We start from the raw sequence: 19,254 nt of genomic DNA on the forward strand, positions 1-19,254 counted from the left end.
ACTGTAGATTATACTACTTTATCCTCACTAACTTCATCTGTAAAACAGGAGCAAGAAATATCTATTTCATAGAATTGTTAAGAGTGATACCTAATATGTATCACATCTTGACTGTATGCCAGGCACTGTGTTAAGGGCTTTCCATCTATCATCACATTGAACTCTTATAACAGCCCTATGAAGTAGACACTAGATTATCCCCCTTTTACAGATGAGGAAACTGAGGTACAAAGAGGTTAAGCAATTTGATAAAAGTCATCCAGCTAGCAAGTGTGGAGGGCAAGCATATCAACTGCTAGGGTTAACGTGAGGATTATATTAAATAATGTATTTAAAGCATCTGGTACACAGTAGGTGCAAATAAATGCTCTCTCTTATCTTCCTTTTATCCACATGATTCTACTCATGCCCAGTAAAATTTACATTGAGGACAATATTTTGACCTTAGCAGTGCCCTATGAATTGAAAGTTCAGTATCCTGGAAAGTAGAAAAGAAAAGGGAAGTTAGGTAGTAGTGGAAGGAGGTGTTTGGGATCTCCAACAGAGAGAACCACAAAGAAAGGTGTAATTACACAGGGAAAAACAGGTGCACATGAGGGAAGACAGTTGCTTGGCCACTGAGGGTAGGATAAGGCAGGGTGATAACCTTTAAAAGAGGAAAGCCAGGGTACAAGATGAGAATCTCAGAGGAAGGGAGTCCACAAAGACACCTATTTCAGCCCGCCTCCCACTGCATGGTAATCCAATTCTCACTTGGACATTTTTTGTGACAAGAAACTCAATTAATCAAGGCAGAGGATGCTCTAGCTGTTAGAAAATTGTTCATATTGATTCATTCTAGAGTTTCTACCCACAGGTTCTCCTTCAACCCCTTAAGGCCCTTAAGTATAAGTTTAATTTCTCTTCTATTTGACAGTTCTTCACATATATCAAGACAGTTACCTTGTACCCCTGGGGCAAAACCTTCTGCTTCCTTTAATATTTCCTCATATGACATAGTTTCTAGCCTCTTTACATCCTGGTCCCTCTACTTGTGCATGTAGATAATTTCTTTCTGCCAAGTCTTAATTGCAGACAATACTTCATGTGGGTACTGACCAACACTGGGCAGCACAATAACACCTATCTTGCTTTACATGTCAGACTTCCACTGATGCAGCCTAAGAGCGTTTATTTATTTTGGCAGCCACAATTCACTGTGGACTCAGATTATTTGTCACCTAAGACCCTTTATCTTGCTCCTGTAAGCATCTAAGACACCTCTGCCTCCGGCTGGCTTCACACAGGGTGGGACTCCACATTTACCCCTGTTAGAGTCAGCCCACTGCTCCAATATTGTATGTGGTTTGTGTAACAGCGTCTCTTCCCCTCCTGGCTTTGTGTCATCTGGACATGTGATGCGAATCTTCTGGATTTTCCTTCAGAACACTGATAAAAGTTCTGATGTCTGGACCTGGGAGAGAGGCTTCTGTCATTCTGAGGGTAACTGGTGTGGTATAGAGGCTTTGAAATAAAAAGAAAAAGTCTAGTTTGAATCACGGCTCTGCCACCTACTGTGTGACCTTTGGCCAGCTAGCTAAATTCTGAGTTTCAGTTTCCCCATCTGTAAAATGGGGCAATAAAAGCTTCCTCACAGTGTGGTTATAAAGATTAAGGGAGAACATGAGGGGAAAGTACTTAGCACAGTGTCTGGTACGTAGTAGGTGCTGCTGGAATGCTGACTCCCTGCAATCTTCTTTTCGGTCAACGTCGACTCATCAATCAGCATCTTTAGGTTATGGTTACTTAACCAGTTATTAGTCCAATTAATGATACTAGCATCCAGCCCATATTTCTTCATCTTGTCTATGATATCTTGTCAAGTGCTTCGCTTAAGTCCCACTTACCTAGAGTGATCTCCTCATGAAATGGGGGCAGAGACAAAGGAGCAATAAGATTCCACCTGCGTGTAAACTTCGGAAAAATAGCAAGCTACCGACGGAATTGCTTGACCTCGAAAACAGTCAGCATTCAGACCACAAGCACATATTGGGCACTCCGTGCCTGTCAATGAGCTGGGGATGGGCAATGGTGTTACAGAGATTAAAAAACGCAGTGTCTGTGTTCAAGGAACTTACCAGGCTAGAAGTCTAGAGTCACGGGGGCCAGTCTGGGTAACAGAATTAGGCCAATTTATTTAATTCCATTTGTTCATGTATCCAGCCAACAGATATTTATGGTGCACTTGTTGGGTGCCAGCCCCGCCCCCACCACTCCACCCTACCCCAGCAGGCGCTAAAGGAGAGCTGACATGATGGATAACGAAAAAGAAGACGCTGTCCTTCTATTCAGGGAGTTTAACATCTGGAAGAGCCGGGAGTTCTTTGTGCTAAAGGCCCTCTACAAAGTGCCTGAGATGCAAAAATAAGTCACTTTCTCTGTCCTCTCAGCAACCGAGTCGCATGTCGTTATCAAATTTTTATTTTCTGTAACTGTTTCCTTCCGTCTTGCTCCGTAGACAGCTTTTTGCAGCAGAGAGCGCTGCCGCGGGGCTGGTGTCTACTCTTCAGTAAGTGGTCAAAACCTGGCTACTGGAAGGAAATGCAATGGAATCGCTCCGCGCTCGAGTATTCTCTTTGGAACTACGGGAATGACAGCTCCAGTGGGACACTTGGAGGTCATGATGAACGCAAAGAACGTGAGAACACTTGCAGTCCTCGGGGTGGAAATGCCTTCTAGAAATACTAAGTATCCGTTCTCTCGTTGAGACTTTGGCAAACCAGGGATTTTAGGAAGGGTCTGGCACTCAACGTTCCTAAAATTGGTTTCCTAGATGGAGCCGGAGGGAGAGAGGGAGTCAGGAACTGCTGCTTTTCGTCGGAATGCCCGGAGGGGAGAAGAAGAAGGAGGAGGGGTGAGGGCGGGCGGCCAAACGCCAGCCGGCAGGGGACCCAGAGAAGAGGGACATCCCGGGCGACCCCGAGGAGCGCGGCTTGGGCACCGCAGTGGCCGCGGCTAGTGGGAGACCTGAGGGGAAAGGGAGAGGGCAGGGGCGAGGAACCCAGGGAGCGCGCGCGGATTGGTCCTCTCCTCGGGGCGTGCGCTCCTGTGCGCCAAATGATTGGTGGCAGGAAAGTAGCAGGTAAACCGGCTCCCGCCGCCTCGCCATTGGTCAGCGGCCTCTCTAGCCGCCACACAACTGGCCAGCGGGCTGCCGAGCCGCGCGCGGATTGGCTGGGGGCGGCCGCCGGGACCGGCTCCCTTCGGGCGTTCGGATTGGCTGGCGGGAAGAGGCAGGTATCCGGGCGCTGCGGCTCCTCCATTGGTGGGCGGGGAAGGGGGGTTGGGCACAGCGATTGGTGGGCGGGGGGCCGGGCCTGGGCCGGCGGGGAGCGGATTGGTCGGAAAGTAGGTTAGTGGTGCGACATTTAGGGAAGGCAGAAAGTAGGTCAGGGACGGAGGTGCCTGTTTACCCGCGCCGGACTCACCGCCGCCGCCGCCGCGGGATCCGAGTGCGGGCGCGGGCGCGGGCGCTCCCGGCGAGCCACGGTGAGTGTCAGGCCGGCGGCGGCCAGCGACGCGATCCCGCGCACCCCGTCGGGGGCCGTTAGCACCCTCGCGGGCGCTGCGCCCCTGCCGCCGCCCCGGGGGCAACCCGGCCGCCGAAGAACCCTGCCCGACGTGCCCGCTGCCGGCCTTAAAGGGCCCGTGACCGCTCCCTGCCCCCACCCGGGCCGTGGGGAGGCTGCGCCCCTTAAAGGCGCCGCGCCCGTCCGCCCCCATCCTCCTCGCGGGGGCTGCCGCTGCGGGCTAGGGCAGGCAGAGGTGCTGCAGGAGCCCTTAAAGGGGCCGGGAAAGTGTTCGCTGGAGTACCCACCGCCCTTCCGCGGGCATCGCTACCTGGCGGGGGGAGGGGGCAGCTAGCTGCCTCTTAAAGGGATAGCTCTGCCCTTGGGGGCAGTGACTCGGCCGAAGAGGACTCCTAGATGTGTCCCCGGGAGCTTCGGGGATCCCCGAGGGGACCATGCCTGGTGGCTGCCCCTCAAGGGCGTTGGGCGAACGGTGCCGCGTCTGCCCTTCCTCCCCGCTTCACTTCCCTTTCGGGAGCCCGCGAGGCTGGGTGGGGGCGGGGAGGGCGTCTCCGTCGGGCTTGGGGAGTCCAAGTCCGCCCGCCCCTTCGGCCCTGTAGCCAGGGCTGGCGCTGCACCCGGGAATCCCCGGCCGGCACGGGGCCGACCCCAGCCTGCGAACTTTCGTGGGGCCTGTGCCGTCCAGGTCCTGGGCGGCCCTCAAGGATGCCCCGTGGGTCTGCGGGCAGGTGCGCGTCGGCCTGGGGATGTCGCCCGGAGCCCGGGTGCGGGCCGGCCTTGGAGTCCCAGAGCTCCGCGGAGGGCGCAGCGAGCCTGGCTCCAGCTCCGGGTTTGACAGATGTCAGGGAAGAAAAGGTTCCCGCTCGGCTATTGCCGGGCGTTGACATCCCAGAGAGCTTCCCGTTTGCTTGGAAGAAGACGAGGAAGGTAGAGGTGAACGTCGACCTTGTGGGGCGCATGTTAGCCTCCCCGAGGGGTCGCGAGAGCCGGCAGCGGGGTGAGCTCAGGTGCCCGCCGGCAGGAGCTGGGGAGGGAAGGGGAGTGCTGGACACCGGCGCCTGCTGTCAAGTTCTCGCCGGCCGGTGAGAGACCCGCTGCCGCCGCGCACCCCGCACCTCCTGACCCCTCTCCCCTCTCCGCCTCGGCCCCTTCCCGGTCACCTAGCGTTGTTTTGGCGCTTTGGCGCTTGCGGTCTCTTCCTTCTTCCACCGCTACTCCTCAGCGAGGAATTATTAGCCAAGTTTTCTCACCCAGCTTCCAAAAATCAGATTCCGTATTTGTGAACAAGCTTTTCTTGACACTACCCGTATACCCGTATTTCCAGCATCGTCGTTTTATTAAACATCCATAAAAGCTGCCCCTTAGATGCATTCATTTCCCACGACACCTGCTTGCTTGTCATTTGTCCTTCTGACATCTGCTGTTGTTCACCCCTTTAATCTATTATTAAATGACAACTATTATTTTAATTCTTCTGGTCTCATTGATATCCGGATCTGTGAATTTGGGTTGGTGGAGTTTTTAATTAATGTACCCGTTGAATCATGAGCTTAAAATAATCATTGCTGCTCCTGAGCAGTTTTGAATAATATCATGCTCTCTCTGCTTGCAAGACTTAAAAAAATTCGCTGGTGTTATATTTGATTTCCATATCAATGGAATTCCCAAATATTTTTGAAAATACAAAATTCAGTCTTTCAGTCCATGTTTTGTTACTCAGATCATTTTACTGATAAGTCTTTAACGCAGCTTATAGAACATATTTAGAAGGTTTGGAAATTTCCTGGACAGGATTTGAAATTGCCTGTATCATCTGAAGCTGGTTCTGTAGAAGCATTTTGGTTTTGATTGTAGATGCAGCCAGTGAATGATAACAATAAGTTAAAACTGTAGTTAAATTTGTTCTTTATTCAACCCTCTGAAGAACGAACAGATCTGGTAGAAAAGCACTAACCTGGGAGTTAGGAGCTGGACATCCTGGTTCTAGTTTAGGCTTGGGCTCTCATGGCCGTTCCAGTCGGGGCAAGTTATTAAAGATTTCTAGGTTGTGTTTGCCTCTGATGGAAAGTAAGACGGTTGAACTAGGTGATCTCAAAGGTTCCTCTCTTTTGAAGTTCTGTAAGTCTCTAAATATTTAATACATTTGAATTCAGGTTGGTATTTACCTCCTGGCACCTCCAGAATATCTGAGCTGAAGCCCTATTTTCATAAGAAAGTTAAGCAGATCAACAGATGGTGTTTTGAAGAATCCATTTCAAATGATTTATAAAATGATGACTACTTACGAGTTTGTCTGCTATTTGCAGAAGAGGTTTGCATGCCACAGGGCAGGAAAAGGAAGTGGCCATGTTTTCAGATTTATCCCTTCACACCAACAATCTCTGTGGAATTTATATGCTAAAAGATGGAGAAGCACCATAGAAAGATTTGGCTGTATTAACAAAACTGCATATGAAAAGGTAAAAACTAGATAGTTAATATCTCTCTTTGGTGTAAGGGTTATAATGTATCTGAGCTTTCTTTGTGATTTCATCATCAACTCTCACTGTGGTAGGAAAATCAATATTAAATAAACAGTTTCAGCCCCGTGATTACATGCAGTGATTTTAGGAAGCATCATGATAACTAAAGTAGGTACTTGCAGGGAAGTAAAATATCCTTTCTAGACCTTGAGGTTTCGTTGGGAGCTAGGGACACAGGCATGTTATCCTTCTCCACAGTCTTTTTTCATTGTCACCTTATCACAAGACTCAGATTTATCCCAAATACCCACCTTGTCTTTTCTTCTCCCTCTCATGAAATAAGACCTGCTCTGACTCAACCCCCTCAGCATCTCTTACTTCCCACCCAAAATGTCCTGTCTCTATCCCCATCGTCCCCTCATCTCCTCCCAATTCAGAGAAAGCAAGTGGACCTCTCCTCTGTTCCTTTTCTTGGCCTCTCACCATGGGCAAGTGCCTGGGCTCTGGTGGCAGAAGAATCCATGGCTCAGGTTTGGGCTTTGTGGTCTTGGATGTGTGCTTGACTCCTCTGACCTCAGGTTTCTCCTCTTGGTGTAATGGCAGTGCCTGCCTCGTGGAGTCTGTGTGAGGATTAAGGGAGATGGTGCATGTAAAAGGCCTGGCACACAGGAAGCCTTTCCTTTGTGCCAGCTGCCATTCCTTCTCACCTCTACCCGGGTCCTATCACTAGAATATTATTTGTGCTGTTTGTCCTTAGTCTCCCCTGCCCCACCCTGAAAACCTTAGGCTTGACTTAGGAGAGGAAGGATGGAAGAGGCAGAGTCAGACTTGTGGTGAGCCTGCTGTGTACCAGGCAATTTACATGTGTCTTTACTTGGTACCCTGGGTTCGTAAGCCTCTCTTTCCTCCCTCCTGCCAGCCTCCCCCACTCTCCCATCTCCTGCTCCATTCTTAGTACCTGCCCTCTGGCTTCTCTCGCTACCACCTTTCTTTATATTTCTTCTCAAAGTTTTCTCCAAAACTTTGTCGTGAGTTCCTGGGGCCCATCTGCCCATCCTTATTCCTGAGTGGTTGTTCTTGGCCCCTTTGCAGTATTTCTTTTATTTTTTTAAACATGGTCTCAGTCTTGCCTGGTTGGAGTGCAGTGGTGCAATCGTGGCTCACTGCAGCCTCCCAAGTCTCAGGTAATCCTCCTGCCTCAGCCTCCAGAGTAGCTGAGCCTACAGACACGTGCCATCACACCTGGCTCATTTTTGTATTTTTATTAGAGATGGAGTTTTGCCATGTTGCCCAGGCTGGTCTCAAACTCCTGGGCTCAAGTGACCCACCTGCACTGGCCTCCCAAAGTGCTGGGATTACAGGCGTGAGTCACTGTGCTCAGCCCCTTTGAAGCTTTTACCTCACTTGTTTTTTGTCCTTTGAAATCCTTTCCTCTCTCAGCCTTTGGGTCATGCTGGTTTCTTGATTCTCTTCCTGCACCCCTGTAAAGATAAATGTCTGTCCTAGCTTCTGCTATTCACACTGTCCGTGGCCTGGGGTCCCCTCTCTAGCCCTGACCTGTCTCTCCTGTGTTCTGCTAGCAGGTCCGTTGTGGACATGAATGGCAGCCTGTAATCTGCATTTGTGGTCTCGGAGTTACAGGTTTGCAGACTGCTTGCAAGCACTGTCACATTGAGTCCTCATGACACACTGGAGCCTACATCCCTTCATTCCCCAGGCTGTCCTAAAAGGCAGTTTGGTTGGGTAGTTTAGCATACAGACTCTGGAGCCAGATTTCACATCCTAAGTATTCCCTACTGGCTTCGTGACTTGTGGTCAATTTTCTTTTGCTCTCTATGCCTTGGTGTCCTCATCTATAAAACTGGGATCATAGTAGCCCCTACATCAGAGAGTTGAGGTGTGGATTAAATGAGTTAAAGCATTGGAAAAAGTGTGCCAGTCTATTCATGGCACATTGCAAACACTCAGTGAATGTTGCTGTCAGTCTTGCTGCTCTTCGTTGCCTTGCCGGGGTGCCTTGGCCTGGTTTGTAGTGGTCTCCACATTCAGCCTGCCTGTCTGCCAGACCTTGCCATGTGCCTGGACACTGTAGTCAAGCTGAGGGGCTGTCCATTCCCTGTACCAGCCCTTGGCCCAGTCCATCCCTCAATTTTCACGTGTCCAAATCCTCCTCTGCTTTTAGGACCCAGGGCCTTGGTCCTGCAGCACTATTTCTTCATTTTGTTTTCCTTCCTCCCCACACCTGGCAGCAATGTCCACATTGATTTTTCTCCAATTCTCTTAGGTTCTGCTGCATTCCATATTGTGTTGGGCTGTCTCTGAAAATATCTCACCTGCTCGCTCAGCCTGAGCATTCTGGGAGAAGTTTATCTTGCTTTTTCCAAAATGACAGGCACAGGGAGCCTTTAGGCCATGGTTGTCCAATGCACATTGATCTTGTGGAGGAGGAGATGGGATGGGGTGGGCACTCAGGGACGGAGCAGGTGGAGGGAACAGGATGCACACTGCATAGAGGTGGGGGTGCAACAGGGCCATAAGTGGACATGGCCGTAAGTACTTAGGTCTGCATGGAAGGAGGGTTTGAATTGGGGACTTAACCTCAGGGGGAGATAAGATTGGATAAGGTTTAGTCATCTTTGCTGCAGGGGAACGTTGAGTACTGGCATGTAATGGAGAGTGGTTTTTACCTTAGTATGTGCTGTCCTTTTAAATAGTGTAAACTAATTCTTTATCTAGCCTGGTTAAAGAAGGGGATGGCTGGTCTGCCTAATTTAATATTTGGCTATTGCTCTACCCACTGGGTTTTGTGCATATACTGAATGAAGCATTGGCTTGTATTTATTCCTTCAATCACTGTTTGAAATGTCTGACCTGGGCAAGTTAATTAGCTTCTCTGAGTGCAAAATAGGAATAATAATTATTACGATAATAGCAGCTAACATTTATTGAACACTTTCTATGTGCCAGCACATATGTGAGTCACCTTTGCTTATTAACTCATTTAAACCCCATAACAACTACATGAGGCAGGTACTATTATCCTTACTTCACAAATGAGGTGGTTTTATAAACTGCCCAAGGTCACTCAGCTGTTATGGCTTGGGGCAGAATTTGTGCTGGTGAACTCCAGAGTCTGCCCTGTAACACCCTAGTAGATTCCTACTGGGAGGAAACACCCCGTTATATCCCTTACCTCACTCAGCCGCACCATGCCAGGAGCCTAGTAGGCTGACAGCAATTGGGAACCAGTCTTATTGTTGACAAACATGGTATGAGCCTCTTTTAGAGCGGAGCTGCCTGAAACCCTCCGCATAAGGGATGCGGACCTGGATGCTACCTGAGCAGCAGCTCCAGGGGCTTGTGAACATTCTCCTCACATCCTGTTATGCATGGCTGTCTCTCTGGCCTCCCCCTGCTTTCTCTGCAGCATTGCTCTGACCCAGGCCCCCTGTGGCTCAGCCAGCTCCTCCCCAGGCAGCTCCTTGTGTGAGATGAACCTTTTAACATAACTCACTAACCCCACCTCCCACCCTCATCTAGCCATCTGCAGAGCTCCTCACTGGGGAGGGGACCTTTTCAAAGGTCCCTCACCTTCGTCCTTTTCTCCCTGAAGACCAACGTCCACAACTTTGGTATATCCACAGTGTTGGGGTGTGTGTGTGTGTGTGTGTGTGTGTGTGTGTGTATATATATGTGTGTGTGTATATATATATATATGTGTATATATATATATGTGTGTATATATATATATGTGTATATATATATATGTGTGTATATATATATGTGTATATATATATATATGTGTGTGTATATATATATATATATATATATATATATATATTTTTTTTTTTAATGCCAGTTGTTCCCCAAATACATTTAGATAGTAAGGGACACATTGTTTTATGTCAAGAACCTGTTACATAAAAATGTGTTATATAATGTTCAAATATATACTGCACAGTGAAATTAGATACCACTTTTTTTTTTTCAAAGAATAAAAGGATAATAAACACAGGCCGTCCTGAATATAATTAACCTCAGATTTGGGAGGCATGGAAGGACGTGCCCTGCCCTCAGAGCTCTCGTCCTGAGCTCTGCCTTTCTTGAGTGCGCCGGGAGCAGGATGGATGGGAAGTTGGCCTGAATCTGCCATGGTGTGGTACTGTGAGATGCTCTGGAAATTGTCTTTTTTTTTTGGCGGGGGGTGGGGGATGCCTTCGCATCTTGCTCACTTGTATCTTTCTCACACCTAAGCAGAGGGAAGAAGCTCTTTTTGCCCCCTCGTACTTAGACCACCCAGGTCATCTTTTGACCAGTTTTCTGCTCTGCTCAACTCCTTTCAATCTTCCCAGATGACAGGCCAGCTTTGCCTGCTAAGAACAGCCCTGGTGCCAGTGGCATGCAGGTGGCACCCCTGTGTCCAGTCTTCCAGGCTCTCCAGGGTCTGGTCCTGTTCCTCCTCCCCAGCCCTGCTTCCCCGCTCAACCTCCATTCCCAGCCACAGCCCTGTGCCCGAGGTTCAGTCCTCCTTGCCTCTCCGCTGTCCTCCCTAGGCCACCTCACTTCACACTCTCCCTCTGGCTAGCGGGGTCTTTGCTTAAATTGTTCCCTTGAGGCCTCTCTTCCTTGCCCGTGCCTGCCTTGGATCTCACTTCTCTGTGAGGTACCTCTGATAACATTTGTTCCCTTTGTGTGTGCTCTCCCTTTTGCTCTTGATTGCCAACCATTCATTCGTTCAGAAGCAGGGGTATGTCATAATGAGCAAATTACCATATCATACTGAATCAGGATGGCCAGTTGTCTCATTTTTTAATTGTTTCATGGTTAATTATCTTACGCTCACTTCCCACTCTCCAGTTTCACTCAGTTACTCCGTCAGTGAAGTTTATTGGATGCCTAGCACTGTTGTGGGCACTGAGGATACAGCAGTGAACAAAACAAGGGGCCCGCAGGAGGGGACAGATGATGAATAGTGAAACACGTTCATGCCTTGTTGTGAGAAGTGCTAGGAGTGCTAGGATAGCAAGCAAATAGAGTAAAGCAGTAGCGATGAGGTATGGTGGGAGGGAGGGTACCTTATCTAGATCACAGGGGAGACCTCTCTGAGGAGGTGACATTTGAACTTAGCTTCAGAAAGATCTGGGGGAAAGTATCCCAGGAAGAGAGAACAGCACATGTAAAGGCCCTGGGGTTGAAAGGTGCTTGATATTTTTGAGGAAAGTAAAGGCTAGTGTGACTCGATTATGAGCTGCTTGTGTACAGATGTTTTCTGCCTCTTTTATACTCCCTTTAACCCTGAGCCCAGTGTTAGGAAGGCCTTGTAAATACTTACATACAGAATTATAGCATTTGTCATTGGTTATATATTATAAAATAGTAATTTTATAAAATAATAATTTATCATACCCTGCTTAGAAGGCTTTTAATAAAACATTATATTGCATATAAACAAATTAAGGGTTTGAAGGGTTTTCTTATAAATGCACTCCTAGCATGTTTCACCAAATATTACTGTTTTAATTGTGTTTAGTGCAGAACTTTAGACCTCATAATTCTGCTTCATGTGCACAACCATCTTAAAAACAGGTTTTGTTCCAAAAGTTTATTTGTAAGGCACTAGGTGGAAACTTGGGATAAATTTTTCTATAAGAAACAATGAAGTAAATAGTGATGTAGTTTCTAGGCGAGCCCTCAAAAGCTATTTAGTGGTGACTGTAGCTGAAAACATACTGGTTGGTATCAGCAGTCGTCAAGCCTTCTGCTGGTAGACCCTCCTCTCAGTAGCATTGTACCTCATTTGCTGTTAGCAATCATAGGACCCATTTACCTCAGTCACTTCTCCTACTGTATTTTCAGTCTGTTAAAGTTTTATAGAAGGGATTTTTTACCTTTATACCTTTAAGATTTGGTTGCATGTGTTATAAATGAGACAGTAGTGCAGAGAGTGGGGAAAACTCTGGACTGGGAGCTGGGAGAGGCCTGGGCTCCAGACTGGGCCCAGCCACTGACTGGCTGAGTAAATTTGAGTAAGTTATCCTCTTTGAACTTTGATTTCTCAGGTTCTTCTTGGCTGTAAAATCCTATTGTTTTCTCACCATAGCAGGGAAACGTAGATATACTTCGTTGTTCAAACCTGCCCTCAAATGGCTGCCTCTGATTTCTTCTTGAAGAAGTATATGGCACTCAGCAATGAGGAACTCAAGCAGTTCCCCATGTGCAGAGCTCTGCAGTGACATTCTCAGTAGGAACCTTGATTTTGATCTGCTATCTTTCTTGATGAGTTGAAAGAAATTTTGTCCCAGAACTTTTGGTCCAGATAAGATTTCTGTGTTCTTGGCCAACTTATCTTCCATATAATTATGTAAATTGTTTTTTCTTTTTAACTCTTAGGGATAAAAATGGTGACTCTGGCTTGCCTGCTTATAAAATATAGTTATAAGTGCCCTTAGGGAATGGAATGAGTTTGCAGGAGAGAGCAGAGCTGAAAGAGTGTGGGATCAAAAACAACTTTAAATGTTAAATGCAAAGCTATTTTCAGTACCCTGCTGGAAGAAAAAATTTTTTTCAAGGTTTTAGAGGATAGAAGAGGTTTTTGCTCCAAAGAAGAAAGGAACCTAAGGTTTTGCAGTGGTGAAAAGTACCTGATCCTTTAACCAACTACCACCCTCCCTTCCCACCTCTGAGTTTTGTTTTCGACATCATGAACCACATTTGCCATTTGAGAGGTTTGATATTTAAGTGACGTTAGTGGCAGAGCTCAACTGGCAGTGTTCAAATGACTTAGGTGCAGAGTGCTGTGCTGCAAACTTCCCCAGTGCATTCTAGGGTAAGGGATGCCTCATAGAGAGTGACAGAGCACTTTTAGCTCTGCCTCTATTTGGTCAGTTGTGAATGGTGTGTTCCTTTTTTTCCTTACTTGAAGGCATAGCGAGGAGTTGGTACAAGAAGTTATTGCTTCATGGACTTCACTTTGGAGCTAGAGGGTGGCATTAGACCTAGCCTGCCTTCTTGGATGCTGGAATACCAGTGGCAATGTCATCTCTTGTTCTCTGCTATACCCCTAGCAATGAAAACAGTGTCTGTACAGAAAAGTCTCTCAATAAATACTTGTTTATTCCTTCAAAAAGTGAATTCAGCTTTGGATAAATTTTTAATTTCCTCCACTCTCTAGCAGTATAGGCTTATGAGGTTGGTCTTGCAAGGTACTTTGGAGTTTAGGTTGCCATTTCTTTTTGACATCTGTGTTTTTCTTATTCTTCAGGTTGGTCAGGTATCAGTGTCTTTTACTGATGATGGTTGTCCCTGCCCTGCTGATGTTCATCTTCTGTTATCTTTAATTGGCTCCAAACTGCAGCAAATCTATAGCTGAGCCACATTAACTAAAAGAAAACTTGTTGCATATTTATTTAGGCATAGTACTACACATGTATTTATTCAGTCAACAAATATCTGTGAGTCTATATGCCAAGAATGTTACTAGACCCAAAGGAAGAGCAGAAATTGTTGTTGTGACCAAGGAGCCTGCAGTTTGATTGCCTTGTGGAACATCTTTATGAGCATTGTAGAAGGGAGGAGGCTTCATAGAACTGGTCAGGTTTTCACCTTTAAGGATGGTAGGATTTCGATTCACAGACAAGGTGAGGACAGGTATTTCCAGGAAGTGGCTGAGCGGAAACAGCATAATTAAAAACACAGAAGTAGGAATGGACCAGTTTGCATTCATGGACACAGACTTGTCTAAAATGGAAGGTTCTTAAATAATGGTGGGAATTTAAGTATGGAAGATCACTGAAGGCCCAAACCTGAAGCCATTTTAGACACCTAGTGACTTGCCTAAAGTGACAGCTGATAAGTGGTAGATCCAGGCTTAAAATAAGGCCATGGGAGCTCTCGACCACTGGCACTGGACTTGGCTGTTTCCCAGCAGTCTCTAGATGCAGGATTTGGGTTTGATTGGGGATTTTCTTTTTTCTTTCTTTCTTTCTTTCTTTTTTTTTCTTTTTTTTTTTTTTGTGATGGACACTGAGATTGGGGGTTTTAGAGTCATGAGCTGGAAATAGGCAAGGCTCTATTTAGCCCACTCTTTCATTTTGCAGTTGGGGAAACTCAGTGAGGTTAAGTGGCAAGTCGGAGTTTACCTAGTGAGTCAGAGACTGCTAGGCAATGGATAACCACTGGATTTGTTTTATTATGATTATGATTTTAGTGACATGAAATATTTCTCTCTAAAGCATCAGTCCAGTGTTAGTGTTCCAGTTGGATTGGAGCAATGAAGGACTAAATGCAGCAGAGACCTGACAGGAGGCTGCTAGATGAATCCAGGAAGGAGAGAGAGAAGCCAGAACTGAGAATTAATTGTCAATTATGTTAATCAGCATGGTGTTATCAGTCACCCTTTAGATTTCTAGAGTGCGGTGAACATCTGCCTGTGTGAGTGGCTTTCAAGTGTGTGAATCTGCACTGTACTGTGACCAAGATACCTTAATGAATTCTCCAGACAGAAAGTGCCACTATGGAAGTCGAATGTTTTAAAACAAATGCCCACATTTTCTGGAAAGAGCACCAGATTAGGAGTCAGATGACCTGCATTTTAGGCTGCTTCTGCTGCTTAGTCACCATATAGCCAAAGCAAATCACTTAATGTCTCAAACTGAGCCTGACTCCTTATCTGTGGAACAGGTATAACAATTCCTGTTGAGCCCTTTTCAGTGTATGTGTGATGCTTGTGTGAGCTAAGGAAAGAATAGGCATTTTGAAGCTGTAAAGTTGCTTTCTGGCTGCAGGGAGCAGCAGTGCAGTTTTAATAGTGAAGATGTACTGGCCCTTACAGGAATAGCCTAGGAGAACCAGAAGAAAGTTCCCCTACCTCCAGGGCATGTTTAGGGAATCTGGCGCTGTCCACCAGGTGGGTGCTGATGTGTACTACTTTATTGGATAGGGCCATGTTTTTTGTTTATTTGTTTGTTTTTATTATACTTTAAGTTCTAGGGTACATGTGCACAACACACAGGTTTGTTACATAGGTATACATGTGCCATGTTGGTTTGCTGCACCCATTAACTCATCATTTACATTAGGTATATCTCCTAATGCTATCCCTCTCCCAGCCCCCCAGCCCCTGACAGGCCCCGGAGTGTGATGTTCCCCGCCCCGTGTCCAAGTGTTCTCATTGTTCAGTTCCCACCTATAAGTGAGAACATGCGGTGTTTGGTTTTCTGTCCTTGTGATAGTTTGCTCAGAATGATGGTTTCTAGCTTCATCCATGTCCCTGCAAAGAACATGAACTCATCCTTTTTTATGGCTGCATAGTATTCCATGGTACATGTGTGCCACATTTTCTTAATCCAGTCTGTCATTGATGGACATTTGGGTTGGTTCCAAGTCTTTGCTATTGTGAATAGTGCCACAATAAACATACATATGCATGTGTCTTTATAGTAGCATGATTTATAATCCTTTGGGTATATACCCAGTAATGGGATCACTGGGTCAAATGATATTTCTAGTTCTAGATCCTTGAGGAATCTCCACACTGTATTCCACAATGATTGAACTAGTTTACACTCCCACCAACAGTGTAAAAGCATTCCTATTTCTCCACATCCTCTCCAGCATCTGTTGTTTCCTGACTTTTTAATGATCACCATTCTAACTGGTGTGAGATGGTATCTCATTTTGGTTTTGATTTGCATTTCTCTGATGACCAGTGATGATGAGCATTTTTTTCATGTGTCTGTTGGCTGCATAAATGTCTTCTTTTGAGAAATGTCTGTTCATATCCTTTGGGATAGGGCCATGTTTTAAAGATGATTACATTTCACCCCCGTAAGCCTGGGCATGGACGGAAAAGTTAGGCATGGATAGCCATGTGAATCTATTATCTGTAGACACCTTTCAGGATAGTGACAGGCAGCTGTGAACCAGAAAAACAAGTGTCAGAATCTAGCCAGCTGGCCAGTCTGGCATTCTTGGATGTTTCATCTGTCCTGGGGCATTAGGCAGCGATCCAGAGGAACCTTGATTAGCCTGGGGGATTCATGGCTGAGCCAGCATGCTGTCCAGGTAATACCTGGCTGCAAAGCCTGACTGGAGATCTGCCAAATCTAAATTTCTGCCAGCATTACAAGTGTATATATTATTATTATTATTATTATTATTATTATTATTAATAGCAGTATCTAACCTTGACTACCTACCATATGCCAGCAACTGTGCTAAGTGCTTACATACTTTTTCTCATTCAGTCTTCACAGTATTCATATAAGGTGGGTAATGTCAGTTCTGTTTTCTAGTTAGAGAGACTGAAACTCAGACGAGCTTCAGCTGATACATACTAAGTGTAAAAGCCATGATTCAAACTCAGAACAGTCTCAGTCCAGTGCCCAGCTGCATAACTGCTATGTTCTTCTTTCTCTCTTTTCCTGGTACCTGAAAATACTTCTTGTCTCTGGTTTTGAGGTTTCTGACTGTGTTATTGGTTGATGGATGGGTTGCCACACAGAGGCTCAGCTCAGCACAGCTCTTTTTTCTTCATAGCTTATGACGGACATCCTCCTGGATACTCTGGCTGGTGAGCAAATGGGTGCCAGTGGTGAATGCAGCAGAAAGACTAACTCTTGCCAGCTAGTGCATGTGGGTGAATTTTAAAGACAACAAAAGAAATTTCTGTAGGTCAGTTTTTCAAAGAGTAACTGGTAGCTTGTAGTCTACTTAAAGGCCAAGTTTGATGTTCATCAAAGTCACCCTGTAAAAACCTTTCCAAATGCTGTGATTCTGATAACAATACCATAGAACATTCCTGTGTAATTGACAAGTAGTTTTTACATACAATGTCTTGTTTAGTCATCATCACAACCCTATGAGGGTTTGCAACTACATATAGTTGCAAAGAAGACTGGGAGATATCTTTAGTTGGGAAGCCATGAGTCTAGCAAAATCTCTGTTTTTAAGGGTGGCGAGGGGAGTGAATGAGGGGAGCTAGCAATCTGATGTGTTGTGGTGGTGATGGAAGGGATAAGTAGAGTTTGAAGCTGTTGTCAGTAGAGTTGGGAGGATGCCTCCTAGTCTATGACATCTCCTAGTGTTATGACATCTCCTCTTGTGGACTGGGAAATTGCTTAGAGTTTAAGCAACTGTCCAGGGTTCTACAACTGGTCAGCGGCAGAGGCAGCACTTAAGTATTGCTTTTGTGACTTAATTCACTCTCTATTCAAGTTTCATCTTTGCTTTCTCTATTGAAGTTCTTAAATATTCTGATTCACTGTATTTAGAAGTCGGCAGGAATTATTAAAGTGAACTTCTTTGTGGTATACACTGTTACTGAATCAGAGTAAATAAAAGGTCACATGATTGGTTGTTGTGTTAGGTTTAATTGACGTGTACTCTGTATGATACAGAATACTCACATATCTTTTGTGGGATATCATTGGTCCAACAGCTTTAAAAATCCCAAGGCTTTAATAGATGATAAAACACGGAGTTTGTGTAATTTCTTGAAAAAGTTGGCCATCGAGTTCTTGGTCAGGAACACAAGCTTCAATTGTAACAGTTTCCATGGAGACATTAGCCTTGGCTTGCATCATTTCAGCTTTCAGTGCCTTTCCTAGGAATGGAGTGAACTGCTAAAAGAAGAGCTCTGGTTGTGGTTGTCACTTAGAGCTCTCTCCCCTACTGTTTCTGCTGGAGGCTGATTTGCTTTTCTGGGTCTTCTCAGTTTTTTCTGTGACCTAAGCATAAATTGTCTTTGAGATCCTGGTAATCTCATATTTTAAAAGTTTTCCACAAAAGACAACTGAATGGAACACTTTTTTTTTTCACCCCTTTAAAGTATTTAATTGGCCATCAACGGTGGCTCACGCCTGTAATCCCAGCACTTTGGGAGGTCGAGGCAGGCAGATCACGAGGTCAGGAGATCGAGACCATCCTGCTAGCACGGTGAAACCCCGTCTCTACTAAAAATACAAAAAAAAAATTACCTGGGCGTAGTGGCGGGCGCCTGTAATCCCAGCTCCTCGGGAGGCTGAGGCAGGAGAATGGCGTGAACCTGGGGGGCGGAGCTTGCAGTGAGCCGAGATCGCGCCACTGCACTCCAGCCTGGGCGACAGAGCGAGACTCCATCTCAAAAAAAAAAAAATAAAATAAAATGAAAAATAAAGTATTTAATTGGTGGCAAGGGGCTTTGCTAGAAGAATGGACACCTGGTCTCACTCAAGCTTCTTGTATTAGTTGGGATACCAGGTGAGTCCCTCTGTTAAAGAGACCCACAGGCACAATGGCTGAAACCAGGTAGAAGTTTTCTCTCTCATGTACTAGTCCCTAGTAGATAGTGGTCCAGGCCTAGTATTTTTAACACATGGCTTCCATTTGATGGTTGAAGGTAAAAACTTACCATCTCCCAGAGGAAACACCCAAGGGGGCACACATCCAGTCATTTTTAAGGGAAAGACCCGGAAGCAGCACATTCTCTTTTTCCAGTAGCCGGAATTTGCAACTACATATAGTTGCAAAGAAGACTGGGAGATATCTTTAGTTGGGAAGCAATGAGTCTAGCAAAATCTCTGTTTTTAAGGGTGGCAAGGGGACTGAATGAGGAAAGCTAGCGGTCTGCTGTGTTGTGGTGGCGATGGAAGGGATAAGTAGAGTTTGAAGCTGTTGTCAGTAGAGTTGGGAAGATGCCTGAGTCAAGGGTGAGAATCTAAGCAGGCACACAGAAACCAGGGCATGTGCAGCCATCTAGAGGTCAGGGAAGCTCTTGGCTCTGAAACTAAGCAGTGGGGGGCACCCAGGCATGGAAGGGAATGTGAATTACTCAGAAGACATTAGGTTGTCAGTAAAAGGAAATTCACCAGTGTGACTGAATCAGTAGAAAGAGCACTTAGACTAGGAGTCAGAAGACCTAGGTTTGAGTCCAGCCCTTTTACTTCATAACCTGGGGCAAAAAACTCCCATAAATATTTGCTTTATTATTTAGATAATGGCAATAACAGTGATGGCCTTTCCTGCCTCCCAGGCTTAGTGTGAGACCAAAGGGTGAGGAAGTACTGTGTAGACTGCAGCCCCATGGAGATGTGCACAGTGTCTGCCCAGCCCAGGGCCTGCCATGGGTGTATTTGTTGAATGAAGTGTGAACTATTAAAAGAGTTGGGAAAAATGCATTATACTAAGGAGATCTTAATCCTGGACAGTCTTCTCTACCAGGCAGAAAGGTTCTGCTCTCCACTGGT

General features: G+C 46.0%; 1 protein-coding gene across 46 annotated transcripts in view, besides 3 other annotated features; it reads left to right on the forward strand.

Annotated features, from left to right (window-relative positions):
• The first annotated feature begins 2,256 nt into the window (after window positions 1-2,256).
• Window positions 2,257-19,254, forward strand: part of BMAL1 (basic helix-loop-helix ARNT like 1) — a 110,615-nt gene continuing 93,617 nt past the window's right edge. For 39 of the 46 annotated variants that reach the window (NR_147788.2, NR_147790.2, NR_147791.2 and 36 more), the window contains exon 1: window positions 3,395-3,528. Coding sequence is in view for 6 of the 46 variants with exons in the window: in XM_017017738.3 (XP_016873227.1) it covers window positions 2,630-2,677 (48 nt within the window). In the remaining 40 variants the exon portion in view is untranslated. Of the gene's footprint in view, window positions 2,678-3,394; window positions 3,529-19,254 lie in introns of those variants that run through there. The other 7 variants (NM_001351804.1, XM_017017738.3, XM_017017739.3 and 4 more) reach the window with 1 other exon arrangement.
• Window positions 2,996-3,645: a silencer, noted in NCBI's record as "silent region_3165". NCBI's record gives its function as "represses an Ori minimal core promoter by ATAC-STARR-seq in GM12878 lymphoblastoid cells {active_cell/tissue: GM12878}" and the evidence as "EXISTENCE:reporter gene assay evidence [ECO:0000049][PMID:35858748]".
• Window positions 3,716-3,785: a silencer, noted in NCBI's record as "silent region_3166". NCBI's record gives its function as "represses an Ori minimal core promoter by ATAC-STARR-seq in GM12878 lymphoblastoid cells {active_cell/tissue: GM12878}" and the evidence as "EXISTENCE:reporter gene assay evidence [ECO:0000049][PMID:35858748]".
• Window positions 4,066-4,405: a silencer, noted in NCBI's record as "silent region_3167". NCBI's record gives its function as "represses an Ori minimal core promoter by ATAC-STARR-seq in GM12878 lymphoblastoid cells {active_cell/tissue: GM12878}" and the evidence as "EXISTENCE:reporter gene assay evidence [ECO:0000049][PMID:35858748]".

The sequence above is a fragment of the Homo sapiens genome, chromosome 11 (assembly GCF_000001405.40).
Source record: "Homo sapiens chromosome 11, GRCh38.p14 Primary Assembly".
NCBI classification, from domain to species: Eukaryota; Metazoa; Chordata; class Mammalia; order Primates; family Hominidae; genus Homo; species Homo sapiens.